Source organism: Homo sapiens, chromosome 10 (genome assembly GCF_000001405.40).
Source record: "Homo sapiens chromosome 10, GRCh38.p14 Primary Assembly".
NCBI classification, from domain to species: domain Eukaryota; kingdom Metazoa; phylum Chordata; class Mammalia; order Primates; family Hominidae; genus Homo; species Homo sapiens.
Window position 1 is genome coordinate 80508232 of NC_000010.11, and position 27914 is coordinate 80536145.

At 51.8% G+C, this 27914-nt stretch overlaps 1 protein-coding gene and 2 long non-coding RNA genes across 11 annotated transcripts in view, besides 3 other annotated features; 2 read left to right on the top strand and 1 right to left on the bottom strand.

Moving 5' to 3' along the window:
- The window catches only part of TSPAN14 (tetraspanin 14), a 68322-nt gene extending 53922 nt beyond the window's left edge, over positions 1 to 14400 (top strand). For 8 of the 9 annotated variants that reach the window (NM_001351267.4, NM_001351268.2, NM_001351266.2 and 5 more), the window contains 5 exons: positions 1070 to 1240; positions 3913 to 4038; positions 5788 to 5832; positions 7973 to 8092; positions 9674 to 14400. In NM_001351267.4, the coding sequence (NP_001338196.1) occupies positions 1070 to 1240; positions 3913 to 4038; positions 5788 to 5832; positions 7973 to 8092; positions 9674 to 9745 (534 nt within the window). In that variant the 3' untranslated portion in view covers positions 9746 to 14400. The remainder of the gene's footprint in view (positions 1 to 1069; positions 1241 to 3912; positions 4039 to 5787; positions 5833 to 7972; positions 8093 to 9673) is intronic. The other variant, NM_001128309.3, reaches the window with a different exon arrangement.
- Positions 14835 to 14914: an enhancer, noted in NCBI's record as "active region_3664". NCBI's record gives its function as "activates an Ori minimal core promoter by ATAC-STARR-seq in GM12878 lymphoblastoid cells {active_cell/tissue: GM12878}" and the evidence as "EXISTENCE:reporter gene assay evidence [ECO:0000049][PMID:35858748]".
- On the top strand, positions 16944 to 24949 carry LOC124902471 (uncharacterized). The gene is made up of 2 exons (XR_007062218.1): positions 16944 to 23201; positions 24155 to 24949. It is a non-coding gene; the product is annotated as an uncharacterized LOC124902471 (long non-coding RNA).
- On the bottom strand, positions 21366 to 27711 carry TSPAN14-AS1 (TSPAN14 antisense RNA 1). The gene is made up of 2 exons (NR_120661.1): positions 27349 to 27711; positions 21366 to 21600 (listed from the first exon to the last, which is right to left on the bottom strand). It is a non-coding gene; the product is annotated as a TSPAN14 antisense RNA 1 (long non-coding RNA).
- Positions 27379 to 27518: an enhancer, noted in NCBI's record as "active region_3665". NCBI's record gives its function as "activates an Ori minimal core promoter by ATAC-STARR-seq in GM12878 lymphoblastoid cells {active_cell/tissue: GM12878}" and the evidence as "EXISTENCE:reporter gene assay evidence [ECO:0000049][PMID:35858748]".
- Positions 27709 to 27898: a silencer, noted in NCBI's record as "silent region_2548". NCBI's record gives its function as "represses an Ori minimal core promoter by ATAC-STARR-seq in GM12878 lymphoblastoid cells {active_cell/tissue: GM12878}" and the evidence as "EXISTENCE:reporter gene assay evidence [ECO:0000049][PMID:35858748]".

Consider the following 27914-nt stretch of genomic DNA (forward strand, 5'->3'; position numbering starts at 1 on the left):
CAGCCTCCCGAGTAGCTGGGACTACAGGCGCCCGCTACCATGCCTGGCTAATTTTTTTTTGTATTTTTAGTAGAGACGGGGTTTCACCGTGTTAGCCAGGATGGTCTCCATCTCCTGACCTTGTGATCCTCTCGCCTCGGCCTCCCAAAGTGCTGGGATTACAGGCGTGAACCACCGCGCCCGGCCGTGTGTATGCTTTTTCTTACTTTGAAAGATTACTCCAAATTGGCCGGTTGTGGCAAGCTGCTTAGTGTCTTATATGGCCAGTGATAATGTCTGTGAGAGCGCAGACTGCAGGCTGGGAGTCTGCCCTGATGGGATGTGGACCTGTGGCTGCACTGGCCCCTTGCAGAATGCCACCACTGCTTGTGGCCTGGGGCAGCTGAGCTTCTGGAGGGGTCTTTATGCTGACGATCATATACTTTCATGCAGAGTTGGTACAGATAACATTGGCACTTCCAGAATTGTAAAGAGCCCTGCAGGGAACTCACATGTCCTGCATGAACTATGTGACCTCAGGCAAGCTATGTACCTCGTGACATAGCCATAGTTTCCTCATCCCTAAAGTGAGGTAACAGATACGTAGGCACTCGATGGTTTTGTGTGTGTAGTGGGGAGTCATCAGATAATGTCTTGGGCACAGTGTCTGTCCTAAAGGAGCCGACACCCCAGGATGCCACCCTGGAGGGTCCAGGTGGAACTGCTGGGGTAGGACAGCCATTCATTCCTGTGATAGGGGTCTCCTCCTTGTCCAGGGAGGAGGGCTGCTTCATAGCAAGTGATTGACACATTGGCTTGGAGCTTTCTCACACTTTTTCACGCATTTGAGTGTTATCAGCAATGCAGTGACATGGGTAGGGATAAATAGCCCCTTTTTACAGATGAAGCGAAGTTGTGCAGAGTCACCCAGCTAACTCTAAGTGTGGGGTTCTGGGGCCCCGATGTGGGACTCTCAGGTGCAGAGCCCACGCTCTGCTGAGGATGGTGGTTCTGGGTCAGGTGGGGTTATGTGTGTGGGGGTGCAGGCTGGTGGGGTGGTGACTTCTGCTCCCGTCCCCTTCCCCTGCAGTTCTGTGGCACCATCGTGCTCATCTTCTTCCTGGAGCTGGCTGTGGCCGTGCTGGCCTTCCTGTTCCAGGACTGGGTGAGGGACCGGTTCCGGGAGTTCTTCGAGAGCAACATCAAGTCCTACCGGGACGATATCGATCTGCAAAACCTCATCGACTCCCTTCAGAAAGCTGTAAGCACCTCCCCAGCGGGCCCCCGATAGAGCATGCACCTCCCTGTGCTGCCTGGAGCTGAGTCTAGCAGGGGCATCAGGCCTTCTCTGTGGGTTGTCTGCCTGCAGCTTGGCAGACAGCAGGGAGGCCGTGGAACAAGCCACTCCACCTCTGGTCTGTTCCACTTTGCCGGCTTGTGGTTGCCTGGTGGGCCAGCCCTTTCCCATTGGGATTGGGCAGGCAAGTCCAGCTGTACCCGAGGCCACCCACCCCCCACGTGCCCGGCCCTCCTCTTTCGGCCCCAGATCTTTCCAATCCTGCCCAATAGCCATACCAGCTGCAATCCTCCTTAGGCGCTGCATACCGTAAGGCACAGCTTCTTCCCCCCGGCTCATGACTCACCATCTGACGCTATTCCTATCCCCTTCCTCCCCGGGACCTTTTCCCCTTCCTCCCTGGGACCTTTTCCCCTTCCTGTTTAAGAAGCCAGGGCTGCCTGGAGGAAGCTTTGTCAGATCTAGTGGAATGTGACCTCCCTGGAATATGTGCCCAGGGGTTTGTCTAAGCAGTTCCAGGCTATGGCCTTTACTCCATCTGGTCCCCATCCCTCTTATCTCTCTCATGTGTGGCTGCACCTGGACGCTTGGACCATAGCTGTCACAGCCCCCTGGGGAGGAACCCACTCCTTGGCCATGTCAGCCTGTGCAATGCAAGGCTCTTGTTTGATCTGTGTGCTGACAGAAAGCCCAGCTTCCTTAAGAACTTTTCATGTGGAACACTTTGGTTTTGAGAAGAAAATAAATCAGAAACCATTAAAAATCTATGATTCACTCTCATTATTAACCAAAACTTGTTCACCTTTATTTCATGTATTATGGGATCCAGCAAAACCCATTTATGGGACCAAAGACCCTGCCTGTATTGTTATTACTAATGTGTATTAGTCTGTGAAAGTCACCAAATCCCCGCCATGTTTTGATGCCTCTCCTTTCTTTTCTGTTCAGTGCCACCGTCCTTTTTTCATTTTCACGTAGCCTTGGCTTGCCTGGTCTCAGCATGCTAGGTTGCGGTTCATCCCTGCATTGCCTTAAAAACATAGTTTTCTGCATTGACTTCTTTTTCTTTTAAAAATAAAACTTCTGGCCGGGCGCGGTGACTCACGCCTGTAATCCCAGCACTTTGGGAGGCTGAGGCGGGTGGATCACAAGGTCAGGAGATCGAGACCATCCTGGCTAACATGGTGAAACCCCATCTCTACTAAAAATACAAAAAATTAGTGGGGTGTGGCGGTGGGCACCTGTAGTCCCAGCTACTCGGGAGGCTGAGGCAGGAGAATGGTGTGAACCCGGGAGGCGGAACTGGCAGTGAGCCGAGATCACGCCACTGCAGTCCAGCCTGGTCAACAGAGCAAGACTCCGTCTCAAAAAAAAGATAAAATAAATAAATTAAAACAAAACAAAACAAAACTTCCCAGGGGAGGGATTCAGTAAATTACAGAGCTTCCTTGGAGTGAAATTTCAGGTAATCACTAAAGCAAGTGGAACCGTGGAGGTGTGGGGGAGACAATTTTACCTGAGAAGTAAGCAAAACAAAATAACCAACCAGAAATCACTGTTGTCATTTGTTGTGATTATTGCCATAACCATGTCAGCTGTAAGGGCAAATGCAAAGAAGTTTTTTAGGGGAAAAGACACTGTCAACTTCACAATGATGCTTTCAGTGTTTGGATTTTACACACTTTTTAGTCAAATAAGGATTTTCTTTGTAGCCACACCAGATGCGAGGAAGGGGAGGGCAGAGGCCCCAGGTGTGGGGCAGAGCTTTGATTGTGTTACCTTTCACCTTCATCGGACCTCTTTTCCTCAGGAGCAGACACTTAGCAGCTGTTTTTTGTAAAGGGGTGAAAAGGGGAATTCACTTGCAAGTTTCTCAGGGAGGAAGAACACTGCACACTAGGAAGTGTTCTCTTGTGGCAAGTAGAGGACCACACCAAGGTGCCGAGGGGGCCACAAAGGAGAGGACGCCACTCTCCTGTCTGAGGAGGCTGGAAGGAGGCGTCTCCTTTGAGGAGGCTGGGAAGAAGAGCAAGCTCCCTGCTAAGGAGGGCCAGGGCTGGGTATGTTGTGCCTGGCAGTGGGGCCAGAGGGCTCCACTGAGCCAGCCATGTGGGTTGGACAGAGGAGGCACCGTGGCCCGGAGATACCTTCACTGCCATTTCCTTTTTGTTATTATTTTCTTTAACACATCAAAAGGGCAGGTCCTCTCTCTCTCTCTCTCTCTCTCTCTCTCTCTCTCTCTCTCTCTCTCTCTCTCTCTCTCTCCCCTTTTTTCTTTCTCTCCTTTTCTCTTTCTCTCTCTCTTTCCTTTCTTTCTTTCTGATTGGGGGTGGGGGTCTTGCTGTGTTGCCCAGACTTGTTTCCAACTCCTGGGCTCAAACCATCTTCCCACCTCAACCTCCCGAGTCACTGAGGTTACAGGCCTGAGCTACTACGCCTAGCTGTTTTCTTCTTAAAGGGCTGCCTGGGTTGCCAGCTTAGCATCTCTGCACATGGGAGGTAGGGGGCGGGCCTTGATTTCTCTGCATGGTAGATGCCGGCAGACTTAGCCTGGCATCACTATGAATGATGCCCTATGCTGGGCAGCCATGGCCCTGTCTTGGAGCCCCTAACAGTTCTGGCTTTTGTGGTTGCAGAACCAGTGCTGTGGCGCATATGGCCCTGAAGACTGGGACCTCAACGTCTACTTCAATTGCAGCGGTGCCAGCTACAGCCGAGAGAAGTGCGGGGTCCCCTTCTCCTGCTGCGTGCCAGATCCTGCGGTGAGTTGGCTTGTGCTGGGGCACAGGGAGCCCGCCCTTCCTGAAGCCCAGAAGCTTTCCTGACTCCTCCAGTGCTCTAGGATACTTCTCTGTCATGGAGGTCTGAGGAGCAGGTGTGCTTTCTCCACACCCTCCTCAAGGCTGCCTCAGCTCTGAAATCCGATATGTGTACATTCTAGGAACACTGCTTGCATGACCCACCCTGGCCTTGGTGTTCTGGGTGAGGCAGGAGAAAAACAGTATTATTTCTACCTGGAGGGCTGTCACTTGCAGCTGGCCAAGAGCTATGAGTGAAATAAGGCCCGCTTATCCCTCTTCCCTGTCCTTTTTCTGGAGCAGATTCCTAGAACTCAACAGTGCACGGGGGCTGTGGGTACACATCATTAACTGGGGAACAGTAGTGGAGAATTATTTTCTTTCTTTTTCTCTTTCTTTTATTTTTGAGACAGGGTCTTGCTGTGTCGCCCAGGCTGGAGTGTAGTGGCATGATCTTGGCTCACTGGAACCTCTGTCTCCTGGGTTCAAGCGATTCTCCTGCCTCAGCCTCCTGAGTAGCTGGGATTACAGGTGCACGCCACCACACCCGGCTAATTATTTTCTGTTTGTTGTTGTTGTTGTTGTTGTTGTTGTTTGGTTTTATTTTAGAGACAGTGTCTCACTCTGTCACTCAGGCTGGAGTGCAGTGGTGCGATCTCAGCTCACTGTACAACCATTGCTTCCCCGGGCTCAAGCAATTCTCCAGCCTCAACCTCCCAAGTAGCTGGGACCACAGGCTTGAGCACCACACCTGGCTAATTTTTGTATTTTTTGTAGAGATGGGGTTTCACCATGTTGCCCCGGCTGGTCTTAAACTCCTGGGCTCAAAGCGATCTGCCCATCTTAGCCTCCCAAAGTGCTGGGATTACAGGTGTGGGCCGCTGTGCCTGTCCTGTCCTTTCTTTACCTATTGGCATTCCCAATCCAAGGCCAACGTCCTTGGGTTCCAGAAGCTGGGTTCTTGGGGTGAACTGTGAAGGAGCTCTGAATTTTGCCTGAACTGAGCCTGAGTAGAACTGGGCCAGTTGCCAGCTCTCGGTGCAGTTATGCAAAGCCTGGTCCTGGGTTACAGGCTTTGAGAAGGCAGAGCATCACCACTATTATATGGGCAAGTTCTGCAGCCCAGGAGAGGCTCAGATTTGCTGAAGCTGCACAGCTCTTCTGAGGTCTCCACTGCGACTGTGAAATGTACCAGTCTTGTAAGTGTTGCTTTTAGCACATATAGTTCTTACCTCCAAGTATAGGTCTTACCTCCTAGCAAACTGTGGCCCCCAGGCCAAATCTGGCTTGCTATTTTTCCATGACCTGTGAGTTAAGAATGCATTCAGATGTTTTTAAATGGTTGGAAATAAATCAAAAGAAGAATAATATTTTGTGGTACGTGAAAATTATATGAAATTCAAATTTCAGTGTCCATAAAGTTTTCTTGAAATACAGCCATTCCTGTTTGTTTACAGATTGTCAGTGCCGGCTCTCATGCAACAAAAGCGGAATTGAGTCTGTGTCTGAAGTACTCACTCTCTAGCCCTTCACAGAGAAAGTTTGCCACCCTGTCCTGGTCTGAAGGATTAGTTGGTGGCATGATTGAAGGACATGAGCTGTAATGGAATTTGCACAAATGTTTGCTAGTGTTTGGTTGTGACTTTACTAGAGCCTCTTAGCACCAGCTTCTTGAGACGCCAGAAGCAACTAATTTTTCTGCTTTTCTTGCAGCAAAAAGTTGTGAACACACAGTGTGGATATGATGTCAGGATTCAGGTGAGAACTCCCATGTATACAACTTGAAGAGTTCTTTAGGTTTTATTCCCTGTGGTTCAACATTCTGATTTAGCACGAGTGCAAATTGAAGTGGGAAAACTCAGGGCAGTGAAGCTCTTGATGCCACCTAAGCTGAGCATAGGCACAGGGTCACATACACTGCTTCCTGAGCTGGCGGCAGGACTCCTGGGAGCAGTAATGGTGATTCTAAGCCTTGTGAGCTGCAGTCCCAACATCTAGGAGTTGCTGCATTTAAAGAGGTGGGATGGAAGTTTTGAGGGACAAAGACTGCATTTTTAGGAGGCTCCTTGGCATCCCAGAAGACGTCTCTCGTTAAGGGGACAGCTGCAGGAGTGTAGGTGCCTTGTTCTGGCCTCCGTGTGGAGGCAGTAGTGACAAAGAGGGAGGCAGGCCTGGGGCAGGGGCGAGGCTCTGTCCTCCAGGACTTCCTTTAGGCTGTAGGGAGTGTGCTCTTAGATGCAAAGAGAAGGAAGACCCCACCCCACTCCAGTCCTTGTTCTAGTGGTCTTTGGTGATATGAATGACTGCTGTTCTAAAAGGGAGGAGTCTCGAGGAATCTTCAGAGACCCCACCTGTTAGCCGTGGATATGAGGGATGTGTCCCTACAGCTTGGGGAACTGTCCTCCTTTAGGGACCTGCATTTCACAGGGAGAAAGTGCTGTAAACTGAATGTGTGTGTCTCTCCAAAATTCACATGTTGGAACTTAAACTCCAATGTGATGGTATTTAAGAGGTGGGGTCTTGGGGAGGGGATTGGGTCATGAGGGCAGAGTCCTTATGAGTGGGATGAGTGTCCTTATGTAAGAGGCCCAGAGAGCTTATTTGTCACTCCACTGTGTGAAGACACAGTGAGAGGGTGCCATCCATGAACCAGAAAGTGGGCCCTCATCCGACACTGAATTTGCCAGTGTCCTGATCTTGAACTTCCCGGCCTCCAGGACTGTGAGAAATAAATTTCTGTTGTTTATAAGCCACCTAATCTATAGTATTTTATTCTAGTTGCCTGAATGGACTAAGATAAGAACCTATATCAACATCAGCTTCCCTAATTATGATTTTTTTTGCCACTTATATTAATTTGCTAAGGCTGCTGTCACAACATACCACAGACAGAAATTTAAGCCACAGCAGGCATTTATTTTCTCACAGTTTGGAGGCTAGAAGTCCAAGATCAAGGTGCTGGCGAGGTGAGGTGGGTGCCTTCAGAGGGCTGTGATGGAAGGGTCTGTTCCAGGCCTCTCTCCTGGCTGCAGGTGGCTGTCCTCTCCCTGTGTCCTCACGTGGGCTCCCCTCTGTGCATGTCTGTGTCCTGATCTCCTCCTCTTAGCAGGATGCTCTTCATATTGGATTAGGGGGCACCCTGATGGCCTCATTTTAGCATAATTACCTCTGTAAAGAGCCTGTCTACAAATACAGTCACCTTCTGAAGTCCTGGGGGTTAGGACTTCAGTGTATGGATTTTGAGGACACAATTTAGCTCCTAACACCTCTAAAATTAGGGGCTAATACTCCATCATGTTGCCATGGAGGAGGCTGATAGGTGTGAGGGGGCTGGGGCCGATTGCCCTGTGTGGGGTGGGCAGGGCTGGGGTGTGTGCTGGGATGGTTACTGACACCCCACCGGGGTTAGCAGTGGAGGGAGCTGGTTGGCTGGCGACTGTTGCCTGCTGGCTCTGTCTCCTGGAGCTGAGCTTACTGGTGGGATGCCCGCTCCGAGAAGCACCCTTCTTCTCTTCTTAGGAGACTCTGGACCCCCTTCTCCAGGTTTCTCTCCCTTTAGAGGCACATTTTCCTCCAAGCCTTCAAGCCCCTTCTCTTTCTCCAGATGTGGATGGTGGGGAAGGGTATCTTGAGAAAGTTGGGCTTTAAATCTCTGGAGACCTGAAAGGAAACAGCCAGGGAGCCTTTGGTCAGACAGGTGGTGCGATGGCACAGTGCCCAGCGAGGGGCAGAGGCTGAGAGGAGCTGACGAGCATCTCCTGGAGAGTCCTCCTTGCCTGCCTCCTGGATCCCTCGTTCCCACCCTGCTTTGCCCTGCTCCTTACCAGAGCTCACTAGGGGATCAGGTGGGGACATCGTGTGTGCCAAAGGCTCAGACCCCTGTGGTGTTTTCCTGCAGCTGAAGAGCAAGTGGGATGAGTCCATCTTCACGAAAGGCTGCATCCAGGCGCTGGAAAGCTGGCTCCCGCGGAACATTTACATTGTGGCTGGCGTCTTCATCGCCATCTCGCTGTTGCAGGTGTGTCCCAGGAGCCTATAGGATTGGCAGGTGGCCTTTTTTCATTTGAGATTGGGCCCTTAACATAGAGTGCATGGGTCCAGTTTGGGTATGGTATTAAGGAAGCTTGCAGAAGAAAAAAAGGGATTCAACTGGATGTCCAAGGCTGAGAGAGTGTATGCGTGTAAGTGTATTGGGGAGGAGAATGGTGGCTTCCATAAACGCTACCTATAGGGGGGCCCTCTGGGCGGGGGCAGGCTGGGAGGGGCTTGTGGCCCTGCACAGGTCCTGGTGGCAGCCCTCTCCAGAGGGCCCAATGGGCTGCAGAAGGGTCACTGCCTATCTGGAGGTAGGTCAGGAGTGTGCTCGGGGTGGGCCATCAAGTGCTGCAGATGGGGAGGTGAAACCCTTGGTCACCTGGGGCCTGAGGGTGGCCTGAGGCTCACGTGTGTGCACTTGCCCCAGGACCTCTCCTCCTGTCTCTGGCCCCTGGGCTGGAGTTGTCAGGTATCTTCCCTGTCCATGAGACATCCTCTGAGGCCTGCTGCCGTTTGTGGCATCCTTTCCTCTCCCAGGCTGTGCTTGTTCATTTGAACCAGGTTGCACATGTGGGAGGATGTTGGTGGCTGAGCAGGCAGTGAGGCCTGGGGTGACTGGGCTGGTTGGTGACTGCTAGGAGAAGAACTGGCAGAGAAAGTCAAGAATTCAGTGATCAGAGAAACCAGGAGTCTTTCCAGTGCTGTTCAGGGCTTCCAAGAAGCCGCAGCTTCTGGGTCCACTGATGCATTTCTTGTGTGGAAAATAACACCATTTAGAAAGTGTTTGACTCTGTTTTTGCCTTGAAGAGGGTGACTGAGGTAGACCCAGGGCCACCAGCCACCCACACATGCCTTCCTCCTTCAAGGAAGACTAAGAAATAGGAGGAAGCAACTGGAAAAGGAAAGAAAAAAGTTATTTGCAAAATAGGCAAGGGAAGAATCAGACTTCAGAAGGACTGACTAGTCAAATTAGAACCACACAAGAATTTAAAGGGAAAAAAAGCCATTTCCAGAGGTCACCAAGTTCGTGTTCATCTGTTCACGTTAGAAGAACATCAGTCTCCTCTCATGATTTCCCTGCTCACCAAGGTTGGGATGGATCTTCAGACATTATTAGCACAGCCAAAATTGGGGATGGCCTTGGTTTTATTATGGAATCGACGTTTACAGGAAACATTCAAGATTTATTATTTTGGGAATGAGAACCAGTCAGCGTGACCCTGTTATTTTTGGTTTAACCCAGGGACAGGCGTGTCCTGCCCCATGGCTTGTGACATACTTAATCATGTTGGAGGCAGGACAGAGTGTCTGTTTTGCTTGTGGTGCCTGTGGTTTGCCTCTTCTAGGCTTTGGGAATGTAACAGACTAGACCCCAGGACCCCTTTTTTGCGGGAGGGGTGGCTGTGCTGTGCCACTCGCTCTGCGGTGCTGTCTCTACGTCTTCAGTCGCAGCTGGGGGGTGAGGAGAGGCGTGCAGTGGGAGCTCCCAACCCCACCCTCCGCTCCCTGCCCTCTGCCTTTGGGCCCCAGCAATGGCCGCTGACTCTGCTGGTGTTGGTTTCAGATATTTGGCATCTTCCTGGCAAGGACGCTGATCTCAGACATCGAGGCAGTGAAGGCCGGCCATCACTTCTGAGGAGCAGAGTTGAGGGAGCCGAGCTGAGCCACGCTGGGAGGCCAGAGCCTTTCTCTGCCATCAGCCCTACGTCCAGAGGGAGAGGAGCCGACACCCCCAGAGCCAGTGCCCCATCTTAAGCATCAGCGTGACGTGACCTCTCTGTTTCTGCTTGCTGGTGCTGAAGACCAAGGGTCCCCCTTGTTACCTGCCCAAACTTGTGACTGCATCCCTCTGGAGTCTACCCAGAGACAGAGAATGTGTCTTTATGTGGGAGTGGTGACTCTGAAAGACAGAGAGGGCTCCTGTGGCTGCCAGGAGGGCTTGACTCAGACCCCCTGCAGCTCAAGCATGTCTGCAGGACACCCTGGTCCCCTCTCCACTGGCATCCAGACATCTGCTTTGGGTCATCCACATCTGTGGGTGGGCCGTGGGTAGAGGGACCCACAGGCGTGGACAGGGCATCTCTCTCCATCAAGCAAAGCAGCATGGGGGCCTGCCCGTAACGGGAGGCGGACGTGGCCCCGCTGGGCCTCTGAGTGCCAGCGCAGTCTGCTGGGACATGCACATATCAGGGGTTGTTTGCAGGATCCTCAGCCATGTTCAAGTGAAGTAAGCCTGAGCCAGTGCGTGGACTGGTGCCACGGGAGTGCCTTGTCCACTGTCCCCCTGTGTCCACCAGCTATTCTCCTGGCGCCGGAACTGCCTCTGGTCTTGATAGCATTAAGCCCTGATGGCGCCGGTGGCGCGGTGGGCATGGTTCTTCACTGAGAGCCGGCTCTCCTTTTCTTAAAGTGTGTAAATAGTTTATTTATAGGGGTAAGAATGTTCTCACACCATTTCACTTCCTCTTCCTCTCCTCCAGCATTCTCCTCTGAGCAGCCTTAGATAGTGTCCATGGCTGGAGCCGACCCTTTGAGTCCCCTTGAGTGTCTTAAGAACCAGCCCACAACAGCCTCTCTTTCTCCTCCACATACTGCAGCCTCCCTCCATGCATCCCACATACAAGCACTCCCCCACTCCCCAGCGTGGCCTCACTGTCTTCTGGTCTTGGTGCTACTGAAATTGTCACCCAGAATTTGAATCCTGACCCTCCCCACTGCAAGCCCAGGGAGCCCCAGCCCAAGATGGCCAGCCTGAAACTGTTGGCCAGGGCTCCTCTTGTGGCCATGTACCCAGGGCTGGCTGGCCTGCCATTTGCCTCTCCCCGGAGACAGCCGTTCTTCTGCAACCACACCCCGTGCCTAGCCACAACCCCAGGCTGCAGCTGCTCAGAAGCTCCAGGCATTTTGTTTCTGGTGACCGCCCCTAATGGGATATCGGTGATCACTGGTCCACCCTTCCTGTCAGGGCTTTTCTGGGGCTGCTCTTGGAAATGAAGTCTTAAGTACTGAATAACTCCCCTGGGGATAGCTGGGGCATTTGTCTAGCTGGGCTACTTTCTAACACTTTGCCATAGCTCAGACCACTTCTCATCGTTCAGGGATGGACTGCAACCTTAATTTACTTGCCGGAGTGTACATTCTAGTGTGGTGTATACTGGTGGCTGTTGATGATGATTTTTTTTTTTTTACACAATTCTCTGTAGACTAGGAGAAGAATGCTTGTGTTTTTCGGAAGTGTGATGCTTCTCTTTGACTGCCAAACTCTTTTATGGAATATATCTTTATATTAATGCTGTTTTGGTCATTTTTGTTTGGGGTCACTATTGAGATATTGCTAAGCATCTCAGTGGTAAACGCGGCTGCCAGAGGAACCAAGGGATAGGGTATGTAGACCTTACAGAAGGATGGATGGTAAAGGCAGTCCATCATCAGCACAATCTGACTTACATTTCATTGAGTAATTTTTTTTTTTTTTAAGATTCTGTATGGCAGCACTTTCAGTTGCCCTTGTGTGCCGGCCACAGCCGCACAAGTTGGCTTGTGGTTTATCCCCCGCTATAAGTGAGAGCTGGAGAAACTTCAACTCCATAGGTCTAGAGGAAACATTGTTTTAGGTTATTTCTGTCCACCCCTGTGCGATACTATTTATTGATCCAAGCAGAAGAGCTTGGGGACACTGAGTCGAAGTGGGGACATGGGATTGAAGCCTGGGCACTGCTGCTGCATGAGCTGTGTGTCCTGGGTGTGCCGGCCTTTCTGTGAAGGGGGTTGGTGGCAGTGCCCACCTCACTAGATGCCTCTGACCCAGCCTCCCCTGGGGGAGTGGGTGGCCACAGACCCTCCCTGCCAGAGCTCCTGGAAGGCTCCTGCAGGCCTGACCCATCTATTCCTGTAGACCTGGTTTAGGATGAAGTCTCGGTGCGATTTTTGCAGAGTTGGGTTTATCTTTCAACTATAGACCCTTCTGGCTGTTCTCAGCCATATCATGTGACTCTGAATAGTTGGATGAGGAATGGAAAGAAAGCAAGGATGAGAGCCGGTCACGTGGCAGTCTCCGCCCAGCATCGGCTGTCCGCACAGAGGCACAGGGCAGGCCTCCTGTGCACTCCCCACCTAGCACTGGCCTGTCCTGAATCCCCGCCTTCCCTGGTTGGAGGCCAGCTGTGGCATTTGCACCCTCTTCTCACCTCACCATGCACATGCTAACTTTAAAGCCTTGGGGTCTTTCCTGTACCCCCTCCTCAACCCTGGTCCACCCCCTCTCAGGATCTTGTCAACGTTATTTTTCCTGTCCCGTCTTCCTATCGCTGGCCTTCCTTTCCCATCCTAAAAACTTGCCGAGGCCCTATGGCTCCCTCCCTTTCTTTCCCAGGCAGCTTCTTATCTGGGCTGTCTGTACCCCTTCCTTTGCACCACCCACCATGCCCCACGTAGCTGAAAGCTGCTTATCCCAATTGTCAACTCTGGCCTTCTTCAGCCTCTGTAGCACCAGACACTGCACCTCCTGAATGTCCTCTGCTTCTCTGCTTCAGAGGCCCAGGCTCGCCAGTTCTCTGACCTCTCCCATATGTCTGCTTAGGACTCTGCTGCAGCTGTCCTCACCAGCCTCCGGGGAATCCCACTACCCACAGGGCAGGGCTGTGGGCTGGGCTGAAAAACCATCTGCATGGTCCACAAGAAGCCTGGCACTGGGTTTCCCCATGAATAACAATGAAAATTAATGGATGCACAACCTTCCTGGAACGTGGAATTTCTCTGGGAGATTCCATGCAGAGGCCACTGGGGAGGTGGCAGGCATGCATGTGACTGTAGGTGGCTGCAGTGTTGGAAGGCTCCCAGCAGAGCAGAGAGGGTGTCAGTCTCATCAGGGAACCCACCTGATGGCTTCTCAGCCAGCAGTCTCAGAGGAACATAGACGACTGCTGAGAAAGGAGGGAGGCAGCAGTGGTCCCAGCACCTGAGGCATCCTGCTGTCATGGGAAGGTCTCCGCCCAAATGTCAGATGCATCAGCCTGTCACCCGCTGGTCCAGAGCTTTCAGCTGTACTGGTAGGGGGTGGGTGGTGGAGTGCTGAATGACCTTCACAGGTGGGCCTTTCCAGCTCTAGGGTCTTACGGGTGTCGGTCCACAGAACCACGGTTTTTAGGTTGTGTGTCCGGGGCTATGGGAACCTGTCCCCCATGATGGATCTTGGTAGAGACACTTCCCTCTGTCATCGTGCCCAGGAGGATGCTGCAGGTGACTACCTGCAGCCCTGTTCTCATTCATTTGGATGCCCTCCAGAAATCTGGGGAGCCATACACCTTTAGAGCCTTTTTTGCTCCTTATCAAGTTGGCAAGGCTTGGCCAATTCCTGTTCAAGGCTGCATTAAAGGCATGTTCACCATCCTGGCTAATACGGTGAAACCCCTTCTCTACTAAAAATACAAAAAAATTAGCCGGGCTTGGTGGCGGGTGCCTGTAGTCCCAGCTACTCCGGAGGCTGAGGCAGGGGAATGGTGTGAACCCAGGAGGCGGAGCTTGCAGTGAGCCGAGATCACACCACTGCACTCCAGCCTGGGCTCAAAAAAGAAAAAAAAAAAAAAAAAAAGGCCCGTTCATTCTCAAATGCTTTTGGCGTCTCCAGGGTGCCTCAGGAAAACATGAAGTGGGCATTGTAGAACTTGGGGCTACTGTGTAACTTTGGAAGAAAAAGTTAAGGGTACTTTTAAGTGGATACTGTTTTGATGAAATTGCCAACTTCAGGGAGCCCAGCTTGGAGAAGGAGGACGTGAGTATTCCTTACAAGGCTCCGAAACAATTCTTTCTTCACTTAGTTTTCTTTCTGTGCTCTGCATCTTATATTCCAGCAGGGTCTTCCAATGCATGGTTTAATAACTACTAGAACTGGCCAGGTGCAGTGGCTCACGCCTGTAATCCCAGAACTTTGGGAGGCTAAGACAGGCAGATCACTTGAGGCCAGGAGTTCGAGACCAGCCTGGACAACATGGTGATACCCAGTTTCTACTAAAAATACAAAAATTAGTCGGGCATGGTGATGTGCACCTGTAGTCCCAGCTGCTCGGGAGGCTGAGGCAGGAGAATCGCTTGAACCCGGGAGACAGAGGTTGCAACGAGCCAAGATCGAGCCACTGCGCTCCGGCCTGGGTGACAGGAGACTCCATCTCAAAAAATAAAATTAAAAAAAAACTACTACAATAAATTATCACCTTGGACTGTATAAAACAACTTTTAAACTAGTCTTTTTAAAAAGTACACTTAAATAAAAATCTAAACATAAGAGAATGTAAAGTGAAAAGTGAAAGTATGTCTTCTGTTACGCAGAGGTAACTACTATTAGGAATCCTTCCTGAAAATGTCCATGCATCTACTCAGGTCATCACACCCATGGAATCATTTTACATACTATTTTATGAGTGTTACTTAATATACTGATCCACAGTGCGTTTTCACGGTCACGCCATCAGTTGTAGGAGTGTGCCAAGAACAGATGGGCCTTGCCTTTGTACCAGAGGAGTCCATTTACAGTTGCAGGTAATAGAAAACCCAATTCAGACTGGCCTAAACAATGAGGGGAGGTTTTGGCTCTTGAAACTGGAAAGTCCCAAGGTGGGGTGAGTTTCAGGTTTGGGTTGATCCAAGTGGCTCAGTGACGTCAACAGGATCTTGTTTCCATTTCTCTGCCTTCCACAGCCTCCCCTTCATCTATGGTGGAGGGAAGGAGTCTACCACAGACAAACCCCGAGCCTCCCCCTGATGGGTGGTGTGGTGGTGAAGCCAGCAAGGGAAGGGATCCCCGGACACACCCCTCCTCATGCTTTATCCCACTGAAACCATGCGGCTGTGAAATGCAGCATCCTCCAGGAGGGGGATGAAGGCCGGGGATGCTGTCAGCTATTGCCATTGCACTTCTGTGGATGGGTGTTACAGTTTTTTGCAGGGTTTTGCACTTACAAGGACATATATATATATATATAAACTACAGTGTTATTGGAATTGCTTCTTACAGTTTGTAAGAAAAAAACATGTTTTTAGAGGAGTTCTCCTGGGAGGTGGGATCACATTTTTTTTTTTTTTTTTTTTTGAGACGGAGTCTCGCTCTGTGGCCCAGGCGGGAGTGCAGTGGCGCAATCTCGGCTCACTGCAAGCTCCGCCTCCCGGGTTCACGCCATTCTCCTGCCTCAGCCTCCCGAGTAGCTGGGACTACAGGCGCCCGCCACTACGCCCGGCTAATTTTTTTTGTATTTTTAGTAGAGACGGGGTTTCACCGTGTTAGCCAGGATGGGGGATCACATTTTAATAAGTAGGTACTCAGGGCTGGGGTGTACCTGTTGCTGCCTGACCACTGCTGGTGTGTGTGGGTATAAGGTGACAAAACCTCCTACCCCTGTGAGGTTGTTTCAAGGATTAAATGAGTTGAGATGGGTAAGCATCTAACAAAGATCCAGATTATTTAGTATGCATCCCCTGAATTATTGCTAACATAATTTTAATGATTGGGGAATTTTATCTGTGGCTGCCAGTCCCTACGAGAGAGCTGCCTGGGTCACATGTCAGATAGCTCAAGCTTTGAATCACTGAAACGAAACGGTCCACTTCCCTGTCCCTTTAGGAACAAGGCTTCGAGGTCTGTGGCAAGCCTCAGCAGGCATTTGGAGTTCAAGGTCTGTTCTCTTTCTGTGCCATAGAGGTGGGGAGACAAGGTAGGGTGTTGCTTCTTGCCTGGAGCGCAGATGCTACCAGAAACCAACACAACCAAAGTTGCCCGGGAGCCCCCAGAAGCAGCAGAGTGGCCATCAACTGCCAAGGGGCCAGGGTAGGCCACAGAGGCCTGGGGCCCAGGAGGGATGGTCTGTGGGGAGAAAGGGGATTATTGTGAACATCAACGCTGGGGATAATGTGCCCTGAAGACAGCAGCATATCACGTTTGGACGGTTGGTGGACCCCATCTGGTCCCACTCATAAGGAGAACAGAGGCCCTGGGGTGTGCTGGGACTTGCCTGAGGCCTCAGACCGGGACTGGGTGCTCCTCCGCACCTCCTATGAGGGAGGGTGTCCGTGTCTGTGAGGACAGCTCAGCAGGGCTGGGAACCTGGGGGCAGTGCTGGGGGACATGTGTGAGACTAGCGTGTGTGGGCCTTGCTCGGCTTGCCCTGGTGCCCTGAGAAAAACCTGGTATTTGAAAATACACATGGACTGCTGGAAGGTCAGGAAATCCAGGGTTTTGTTCTGAGGCAGTGGAAGTGTTACCGTGAGCCTGTGTTGGCCTCTCTCCTCACTCCACCTGCAGCCAATTCAGCCACACTGCCTTTGCATGGAACCCAGGGTTGCAGGCCGCGTGTGTAGATGCTGATTTAGGCCCAAGCACTCAGCTGTCAGCAGGAAGGACCATAGTGTTTTCTTCTAGTTTTAGATATGCACTCGTTCTGTGTTTTAAAGTCACAGCTGTGAGCCAATATGGGAAGAAGTGAAGTGGCCTCTAGGAGGGACTGAGCACCCTGTCCTTGGAGGTATGCAAGCCCAGGCTACACCCTTCCTGTCTGGGATGATATGGCTGGGGGTGGGCTTTGTGCTGCGTGGACCATGGCAAGCCTTTCCATCTCTGAGAGGTAGTGGTCCTTCCCGTGCCTTCTGTTAAAGATAATTTTTTAAAAAAAGGCATAACTCATATATATTACATGTACACATGTCAAAGATTTTATTTAACTCAGTAATTGAGAGTGCTGCTAAGATTAACAGCCAGTTCAAAAGAGAAATCACAATGAACCATAAATCTGTATGGAGTAAAGGAAAGTTGAAACTGGCTGGGGTTTTTTTTTTTTTTTTTTTTTTTGAGGAGAAAGGTCAATTGAATCTTATTCGTATAATATGCACATCCATAGACAAGAATTATTTTGCATTAACTCTACAACTTAGTTGTAAAAATAGCTCAAAGGCAGTGAAAGACTAGAATCAGATAATTGGAAGGGTGCACCCTAAGCAATGCATAGTTCTATTTTCTTTCTTTTTTTTTTTGAGACAGAGTTTCCCTCTTGTCACACAGGCTGGAGCGCAGTGGTGCAATCTTGGCTCATTGCAACCTCTGCCTCCCGGGTTCAAGTGATTCTCCTGACTCAGCCTCCTGAGTAGCTGGGATTACAGGCGCATGCCACCACAACTGGCTAATTTTTGTATTTTTAGTAGATACAGGGTTTCACTGTGTTGGCCAGGTTGGTCTCATACTCCTGACCTCAGGTGATCCACCCGCCTCGGCCTCCCAAAATGTTGGGATTACAGGCGTCAGCCACCACGCCCGGCCCCAATGCATAGTTTTTTACTGAAGACAACCAGAATCTCTGTTGCTTATTCCAAATTTCCTTCCACCACTTGTCCATCCAGCAGAGCCACTTTTAAAATAGGACACAGGCAGAAATTTAAAGGAGTCAATATCTCATGGTGAAAAGTGAATCCTGAGGGTTAGAGCATCCACCAGGTGCCCTAGGTAAGGGCCAGCCACTCTGGGAGGCAGCCCGGGGCACTCACTGTCCTCTCAGTAGTAAATGAAATCACTCAGGCCATGTCTGCTACCCAGAGAGCCTGAGTGTCCTCAAATGCTTGTTCTGCCTCTCCATCCACTCCTGCAGACACCTCAGTGGCTGCATCCCAAACCGCTGAACTTTGCTTCTCTTTCTCCAACCCCCAATTCCACCCACATCCAAAACTGCTCTGCCCCCTATTCCCATCTCAGCTGAGGGTACTATCATCCACCCTGTGGCCACATCCAGGAATGTGTGTATCACCTGGGCTCTGAGGATGACATCAGCTCTTCTAAGTCAACAGAATGTCGGGTCTGTTCTAAAAGTCTCATCTGACAAGGAGATCTTTAAGGCTTTACTCCCTTAAAGGCTTTACTCCCATCATGATGGGATAACCATCATGATGGATTTCAGTGTCATTCTGTCTTTTTCTTCGGAATGATTCCTGGGACTCGCCTTGTTTGCAACATGTGCATTGAAATATCTTTTCAACATAACTTTGTTCTTAATTGTGTTTACTTCCTTTCTCTGTGAATCTCAGTGATTCCTGGAAGCTGTGGTTGGTGGGGGATGGGGTGGGAGGACTTTGGTAGTATAAAAGAGTACCTGCAATGAATGTTCTAAGAAACTGGAGTGTTGGGGTCCTCCAGCCCTTGGCTGGTAAACTCTCCACTCCTTCCTCTTTGCAACACAATTCTCATAACTGGCAAAGGTGTGCATGTAAAATTTGTGACTGTAGTCTGAGGTTTTTTTTCCCTGTACAATTCCGCCTTCCCCCCTGTAAGCCTGTACCAGGAGAGGTCTCAGCTGCCTTGGAGGCGGTGAGACACGTGGGTGCTCACTGTGGCCCTCAAGGGTGAGGCTGGCACTGGGGCATCTGGGGCCAGAAGTCCTCCTTTAGTCCCAAGTCTCTGCCACTCAAGTGCATCAGTGAGAGGTCCTCATAGAAAATCTACTGTGGGCACAAAGCTGCCAGGCTGATGGGGGTGGGGAGCAAACGAACACCCTTTTCCCCTTTTACACCAGAGGAAAGAGACTTAGACTGAGGAACTTGCCTGCTGCCAGACAGCTGGGAGGTGGTAGAACCGGGCTTACAGCCCAGGGTTTCCACTCTAGGAACTCTTCTCCCTTCCTCTGATGACACTAACTCGCAGGCCATGATCAATGAGCAACGATGTAGGCAGGCACTGACGAGGCACAGCAGGAAGGCAGCTCAGTGCCCATGACGGCCAGGAACTGGGTACCATTTCCTCAGCAAAATGGGATAGTAACTCCCACACTGCAGCTACGCACTTGGGCAGTGGTTCACAAGGCCAGCAGCCACAACATCACCCCAGACCAGCAGCAGCTGCAGCATTACCCCCAGCACTTGTTAAAAGATGCAAATTCAGGCCAGGTGTGGTGGCTCGTGCCTGTAATCCCAGTACTTTGGGAAGCCAAGGCGGGTGGGTCACCTGAGGTCAGGAGTTCGAGACCAGCCTGGCCAATGTGGTGAAACCCTGTCTCTACTAAAAATACAAAAAATGACCCGGGCATGGTTGTGGGCGCCTGTAATCCCAGCTACCCAGGAGACCGAGGCAGGAGAATCACTTGAACCCGGGAGGCAGAGGTTGCAGTCAGCCGAGATTGTGCCATTACACTCCAGCCTGGGCAACAAGAGCGAAACTCTGTTTCAATAAATAAATAAAAATGCAAATTGTATGCCCCTTCCTTCAGGCCTATGGGACCAAAAACTGGGATGGGGCCCAATAAAATGTTTTAACCAGCCCTTCGGTGGTTACAGAAGGATAGAGCCAGAATAGACTAACCACTGTAACAAACATTACCTATACTTGGGAGGCTTTGAAAAATGTTTATTTAGCCGGGTGCGGTGGCTCACGCCTGTAATCCCAACACTTTGGGAGGCTGAGGCGGGCGGATCACGAGGTCAGGAGATTGAGACCAGCCTGGCTAACACAGTGAAACCCCGTCTCTACTAAAAATACAAAAAATTAGCCAGGTGTGGTGGCAGGTGCCTGTAGTCCCAGCTACTCTGGAGGCTGAGGCAGTAGAATTTCTTGAACCCAGGAGGCGGGGCTTGCAGTAAGTCGAGATCACGCCACTGCACTCCAGCCTGGGTGACAGAGTGAGACTCCATCTCAAAAAAAAAAAAAAAGGAAAGAAAAATGTTTATTTTTTTGCTCATGCCACAGTCTCTGGTAGTTGCTGGGAACTAGGGTGGGGGATTCTCTGCTCCACACAGTCTTTCATGGACCCAGGTTCCTTTCCTGTTGTGGGTCCAGCCTCCTGTAGCTGTTGGAGGCATCTCTAGTCAGCTGGTGGTTGGGGAAGAGGTGAGGATCAGGGAGGGAAGATGGAGAGTACTCTGCTTGTTCTCACATTCTGCTGGCCAGAACTCACAAGCCACCTGAAATGATGCAAAGGTCTAGCTGTGTGTGTAGGAGAAAGAAGAGAGGCCAGATATTGGAAGACAGCAGTGGTCTGTGCCCCAGGCCCCATGGTTTAGGGAAGTGAACCTTGGCACTGGATTTCCTGGCTTTCTAAATCTCCCTTTATAGGGAACTTAGGGCCCAGTCTGTGGTGGGTGGATTTGCCTGGTTCACAGCCTCTGGTCAGCCTTCTTTCTGCTCCACAGGGCGGCCTGGAGATGGTGGGCTCCTTGTCACACTGGTTGGGGATGTGGGCTCCATGGGGCCAGAGATGTGTGTGCTCTGTGTTCAGATTAAGGGACAGACGGCACATGAATTCCTTCAGTGCCCTCCAGATTTGGTCACTGGGGAGGGGTAGGCTGAGCAGTAGCTCTTGGGTCTGTAGTAGTGTGACCCTGGAAGGACTGTCCAGCTGAAAACAAGAGCCTGGGGCGTGGGGAGGGGAGGGGTTACTCAGGGTTCCATGAGACCTGGGTTTAAGTCCTGGATCCATCATTAGCAGCTATGTGAACTTATGCCTCACTTTCCTCAAATATGAACTTGAGATAATGAAATTACCTTCCTCATAATACTGTTCTAAGAATTGAATGAGGAAAGGTTTACAATTCGGCCCTGGTTGTTCCACTGGGGAGGGAACAGAGATTGGGGGCACAGGGCTCCCCTGGCCTGGGGGAGTCTGGCTCACTCAAGTTCTCAGTCATTTGCAAGGCAAGGACCCTGCTTCTCCTTGCTCTGGGTCCGAGTAGTCTCAAGCCCAGTGGGCAGGGCCTGTGGTGTGGATGGACTCGTCTGCAGTGAGTCAGGCAGCAGGCAGAGCTGGCAGGCTGTGTGGTCTCTAGTGGGTACCAGGGGACCTGGGAGGGCCTTGTGGGAGGTTGTCCACGGTGTGAGCCAGTTTGCCATCTGGGGTCCTGGAGTTCCCTCCCGCCCTTTGAGTTAAAAAGAGTCAGTCCTGGGCTGAGACTTAATTGCGCTAGTGCTGAGTGACCTTGTGTCAGGGGAAATCGGATGGGGCAAAGTGTTTTTTAATTAGCAGGACTCACTGACCTTTCCTTCACTGTCAGCAACTTCTCACAGGGAGGCAGAGCAAGGGGGGCTGGAGCCCCGCATCTCTCTAATGGAGCCTATGTCCAACAAGGAGGTGGATGGCTGGATTCAGGGCCCTGGGAGGACTTCATGTGGGAAGCAGACCTCAGGAAGGGCCCTTAGTGATGGTGTGGGCCAGGGTTCTCACCTCCTTAGTCTCCTGTCCTGTCCATCTCCGCAGATCCTAGGCAAAAGAAGCGGAGAAACACTCAAGCCACTGGGGTGGTTAGGGCACACTGGTGGCAACTGTTTAAAACCTTAACTAAAACAAGGTTAAGCAAAAGGAGTTTACAGGCTCTCATAGATGGGAAGGATGTGGGAGGGTCACAGACTGAGAGGAACCAGGGCTGTGGCTGCTGGAAGGAGCCTCACCACCGCCAGTGTGTTTCCTCCCCGTCGTCGGCATCTCTGCTTCTCTCTGCACGCCAGCAGCTCTCTCTTAGGGCACGCAGACCTTTCCTCTGCAGGGGAACACGAGTGCCGGCAGCCCCGAGTTAGTGACTATCATAGAAACTCAGTGTATTTCTCTCTTGTTTATCATTCCGAGTCCTGAGTCACAGGCTTGTCCAGCACTCAAGACTTTTTCTTTTCTCTATTTTTTGAAACGGATTCTCGCTCTGTCCCCCAGGCTGGAGTGCAGTGGCCCGATTTTGGGTGCAAGCGATTCTCCTGCCTCAACCTCCCGAGTAGCTGGGACTACAGGTGTGCGCCACCACATCCAGCTAATTTTTGTATTTTTAGTAGAGACGGAGTTTCACTATGTTGGCCAGGCTGGTTTCAAACTCCTGACCTCCCGCCGGCCTCAGCCTCCCAAAGTGCTGGGATTACAGGCATGAGCCACCACGCCTGGCCAAGATTTTTTCTTTTAAACCTGGAGTATGGAGATGCTCACTAGGCAGACAGAATCAGCCACCACAGCCCACTCCCTCAGCCAGTATTACTTTGACTAAGTTAGTGAGGAACCAGGCCCCAGATTAAGAAGCAGAACTCACACTGTCATCTGCTGTGTGCCTGGCTGGCTCATGCATACCTTGTCTATCTAATGTGGACCAAAGCCCTGTGGCACACCCTGCTGGTTACCCCCAGTGGTTACCCTGGCACAGAGGAGGAAAGGGAGTCGTGGGAGGGAGAAGGACTTCCCTGGGAGGTCTCTGGGCTGGCAAGTTGGGTGACACAGGTCCGGTTGGCTGCAAGCCTGGGCTCTGCTGTTGTAATCATAAATGTGTGTGTGTGTACAGTTGTTTACAATGTCAGCATGGGTGTCCTTGTTTGTTAGAGATACATGCCACTGCTCCCATCATGAGGAAAATCCCAAGCCCTCCCCATGATTTTTGCCAGTTTCTGGGGACTCATGCTCCTGGCAGCCCATGTGTCCCCAACTCCTGTGTCCTTTAGGGACCTCTGTTGAGCCCTGCCTCTATTCTGGCAGAATTAGAGAAAATTCTTTAAAAAAACAATAAAGTTTAAATTCATTTAAAAAAATAATAAAAAATCTCACAGCATGAGTTTTGATGAGATTTGGGGCAAGGTGGGCCACAACCTTGGGTTGTATGGCCACCTCCCCCTCTTCTTCCCCTGTTGTCTCTGCAGCTCAGAAACCCCAATTTCCTGGCCTGTGTTATGTGGAGGAGCTGAGCTCACCCCCTACAGCTTCATCTCCAAACCTAGCAAGGATCCTGCCCAGATCAGGAGATCCTCCTTTTAACAGAAGTTATTTACACTCCTTAGAAAGCAGTGGGGGTGGAACGATTCTTTTTCCTGATGCAGAGATGTAAAACTGGGACATTGCTACACATAATATTTTAAACCTGTCTTCCCTCTTACCAACGAACACATCACTAGCACCATCTATGCCAATACATTTCTCAACATCAATTTCAGTGGCTGTATTACATTTTATCCTACGGATGTGCTCTCATTTATAATCTAAACCACTTTTATTGAACACATCAGTTATTCTGAAATTTTCAGTGTTATGATGGATGTTGCAGTAATTATTCTTATATATGCACAGAACCCCCAGAGGACATGACTACTGAAGGCTGTGCTGGCAGGATCACAGGTAAGGATCTAGCAAATTGTCCCAGCTTCATTGACTGAGCTTTCATCCTTGTTGCACTACTTTGAGCTGCCATTTTGATCATATAATAATGATTTAGTAGAGCTCTTTTTTGGTTCAACCTACCTGTTCTTGTATCAGAACTGAAATGTTTGATTTTATAAATTTGAATAGTGGCACAATATAGAGTTCACTATTCCTCAATATTTTCAAGGCTGTTTCTTATCTGTTCATTCTTTTGGTTAACTTGGGAATTATTTTATCAAGTCTCTCTACTTCCCAATTTCCTTTCACCTTTGGCTCGAAATGATATTCAATGTATACATTAACTTGAGTTACATTTTGCTGCATAATGCTTGAGTTACATTTTGAGTATTACGTGTTACTCATAATACATATTGAGTTACATTTTGCTGCATAATACATTATCCCCAAGTTTAACACCTTAAAGCAGCACATATATATCTCATACCCTTCTGAGGGTCAGGAATCTAGAAGCAGCTTAGCTGGGTGACTGTGGCTCTGGGTCTCTCATGAGGCTGCAGTGAAACTGTTGGCCAGGGCTGGAGGATCCCTTCCAACCTCACTCCATGACTGTTGGTGGGAGGCTTCAGTTCTCCACCTGGTTCTCACAATATAATTTCCCCCAGAGTGAGTTATCAGAGAGAGTGTGCAACCAGTAATCTGTTAGAATATGTCACGTCTGTCATATTTGATTGGTCACTCAGACCAACCCTAATAGATGCGAGAGTGACTATGCAAGGGTGTGAGTTCCAGGAGGAAAGCATCATTGGAACCATCTTGGAGACTGGCTAATACACAGATAAATGGCACATCTGACAATATGGCATCTTTCTGAGTGTCAGTGTGGTGTGTTCCTATATGAACTTAATGCTATTAAACTTAATTAAATTGTAGGTATGCTCTCAGTGAAGATTTTTACTTTTACATTACAGGTTTCCACACTGTTAAATTCATTCCAAGTATTTCATACATGCTGTTCCTATTATGAAAGGATCTTTTTTTTCACATGGCATTTTCTAAGTAGTTGTTGCATTCATATAGGAGATGCTATTGATTTTGACACCCATAATTTTTCAGTGGAGACAAGGCAGAAACTACTCCAGACTCTCACCTGCTGTTGCTGATCCTTACATGGTGGCTGTGCCAGGCTCAGCCGCGCTGAGATGACAGGGCTGTCTGGCCATCATTGGTCATATGGACTTCAGATTTGAAAGGATTTTATGTAGAAGCAGAGTGCCTGATAGGACTCTCCGGGACCCCCATTTCTGCCCTGCTTGGCTCCCACTGGCAAGGCTGGCTCAGTTCCTGTCACCTTCTCCTGGACTTTGGCCAGAGTCCACTGGCTGTTTCCCCTGCCTCCTGCTCTCCCAGTGCCCTCTCCACACCAGTGCCAGAGCTGCTTCTAAGAGATGCCTCAAAGCCCGCTTCCAGCTTAGGAACCCCAGGGAACATGGATGGTTTCTCCATTGCCACTTCCTAGCCTTCCTGGCATAGGAAGGTCTGGTTTGCCTGCAGGTCCCTCTCTGGGGGGGTCCCTGCTCCATAGATGCTGAGGCTCCAGAAGTCTGTTCTTTTATATCACATTTGAAAACCTTTGAAATGCATTATAGTTGAGTCATATGAATTATGTAAGTATATCCTACTCATTGTATAAAACAACACAGAATTGTCTAAAGTGTCATTTTTCTCCGCATTCCAAGAAAAAGCTAAGAAGCAATGCTAAACAATTAGGCGTGTGATCTTCTGTACTTTTCCCTTTGTCTCCACAAAAGTAATCGGACATACAGAATTTTAAAAATGGATTACCCTGGGAAAGGCTCCTCCTCTCCCTCTCCCTCCTCTCCCTCTCCCTCCTCTCCCTCTCCCTCCTCTCCCTCTCCCTCCTCTCCCTCTCCCTCCTCTCCCTCTCCCTCCTCTCCCTCTCCCTCTCCCTCTCCCCACGGTCTCCCTCTCCCTCTCTTTCCACGGTCTCCCCCTGATGCCGAGCCAAAGCTGGACTGTACTGCTGCCATCTCGGCTCACTGCAACCTCCCTGCCTGATTCTCCTGCCTCAGCCTGCCGAGTGCCTGCGATTGCAGGCGCGCGCCGCCACGCCTGACTGGTTTTCGTATTTTTTTGGTGGAGACGGGGTTTCGCTGTGTTGGCCGGGCTGGTCTCCAGCTCCTAACCGCGAGTGATCCGCCAGCCTCAGCCTCCCGAGGTGCCGGGATGGCAGACGGAGTCGTGTTCACTCAGTGCTCAATGGTGCCCAGGCTGGAGTGCAGTGGCGTGATCTCGGCTCGCTACAACCTCCACTTCCCAGCTGCCTGCCTTGGCCCCGCAAAGTGCCGAGATTGCAGCCTCTGCCCGGCCGCCACCCCGTCTGGGAAGTGAGGAGCGTCTCTGCCTGGCCGCCCATCGTCTGGGATGTGAGGAGCCTCTCTGCCTGGCTGCCCAGTCTGGAAAGTGAGGAGCGTCTCTGCCCGGCCGCCATCCCATCTAGGAAGTGAGGAGCGTCTCTGCCAGGCCGCCCATCTTCTGCGATGTGGGGAGCGCCTCTGCCCTGCCGCCCCGTCTGGGATGTGAGGAGCGTCTCTGCCCGGCTGCCCCGTCTGAGAAGTGAGGAGACCCTCTGCCTGGCAACCGCCCCGTCTGAGAAGTGAGGAGCCCCTCCGCCCAGCAGCCACACCCTCTGAGAAGTGAGGAGCCCCTCCGCCCGGCAGCCACTCCGTCTGGGAAGTGAGGAGCGTCTCCGCCTGGCAGCCACCCCGTCTGGGAGGGAGGTGGGGGTCAGCCCCCCGCCCGGCCAGCCGCCCTGTCCAGAAGGGAGGTGGGGGGGTTAGCCCCCCGCCCGGCCAGCCGCCCCATCCAGGAGGGAGGTGGGGGGGGTCATCCCTCTGCCCGGCCAGCTGCCCGTCCGGGAGGGAGGTGGGGGGGTCAGCCCCCCGCCCGGCCAGCCACCCCGTCCGGGAGGTGAGGGGCGCCTCTGCCCGGCCGCCCCTACTGGGAAGTGAGGAGCCCCTCTGCCCGGCCAGCCGCCCCGTCCAGGAAGGATGTGGGGGGGTCAGCCCCGGGCCCGGCCAGCCGCCACATCCGGGAGGTGAGGGGCGCCTCTGCCCGGCCGCCCCTACTGGGAAGAGAGGAGCCCCTCTGCCCGGCCAGCCGCCCCGTCCGGGAGGGAGGCGGGGAGGTCAGCCCCCCGCCCGGCCAGCCGCCCCGTCCAGGAGGGAGGCGGGGGGGTCAGCCCCCCGCCTGGCCAGCTGCCCCGTCCGGGAGGTGAGGGGCGCCTCTGCCTGGCCGCCCCTACTGGGACGTGAGGAGCCCCTCTGCCCGGCCAGCCGCCCCGTCCAGGAGGGAGGTGGGGGGGTCAGCCCCCCACCCGGCCAGCCGCCCCATCCGGGAGGGAGGTGGGGGGGTCAGCCCCCCACCCGGCCAGCCGCCCCATCCGGGAGGGAGGCGGGGAGGTCAGCCCCCCGCCCAGCCAGCCGCCCTGTCCGGGAGGGAGGCGGGGGGGTCAGCCCCCTGCCCGGCCAGCCGCCCCGTCCGGGAGGTGAGGGGCGCCTCTGCCCGGCCGCCCCTACTGGGAAGTGAGGAGCCCCTCTGCCCGGCCACCACCCCGTCTGGGAGGTGTACTCAACAGCTCATTGAGAACGGGCCATGATGACAATGGCGGTTTTGTGGAATAGAAAGGGGGGAAAGGTGGGGAAAAGATTGAGAAATCGGATGGTTGCCATGTCTGTGTAGAAAGAGGTAGACATGGGAGACTTTTCATTTTGTTCTGTACTAAGAAAAATTCTTCTGCCTTGGGATCCTGTTGATCTGTGACCTTACCCCCAACCCTGTGCTCTCTGAAACATGTGCTATGTCCACTCAGGGTTGAATGGATTAAGGGTGGTGCAAGATGTGCTTTGTTAAACAGATGCTTGAAGGCAGCATGCTCATTAAGAGTCATCACCACTCCCTAATCTCAAGTACCCAGGGACACAAACACTGCGGAAGGCTGCAGGGTCCTCTGCCTAGGAAAACCAGAGACCTTTGTTCACTTATCTGCTGACCTTCCCTCCACTATTGTCCTGTGACCCTGCCAAATCCCCCTCTGCGAGAAACACCCAAGAATGATCAATAAAAAAGAAAAAAAATGGATTACCCTGTGCACAGTATTCTGCATGGCGTCTTTTCATTTTATCAACGGTGGCCACTTCCCTCGACGAAACAGTCGACTTCATTGTGACAGGAGTAGAGGTCCATGCTGGGCAACCCACCCCCATGGAGGGACACTCAGGTGGTTTCCAGTCACTTGCACAACATTGTTGCGTGCGTGGGCCTTCCGGGCCCGGAAGAAACTGCGTTCGCGTGCAACATTAAACACCCCACATGGGCTGGTGAAAAATGAAAGCAAAATAAGACCAGTTGAAAGGCGGCAGAAAACCTGTGTGACTACTCCGTGGCTCCCCTGCCTGGTTTCCAGCCGCGGACTCTGCTCTTCGGCGCGACCCCTGCTCCTGGGGTCCTCTGGGGTCCTCTGGGGTCCTCCCGCACACCCAGGCCAGGCACACCCAGGTTGCGAAGCCGAGTGCCTCCCCGTGCGGCCGCCAGGGAGCGCCCCAGGCCTGGCCGAGTCCCCCGCCCTCCACCCCGCCAGGCCCAGGAGAATTGATAGGCGGGCCCCGAAGCACGTCTTCCCGGAAACCGGACTTCACCCGCTCCCGGGCT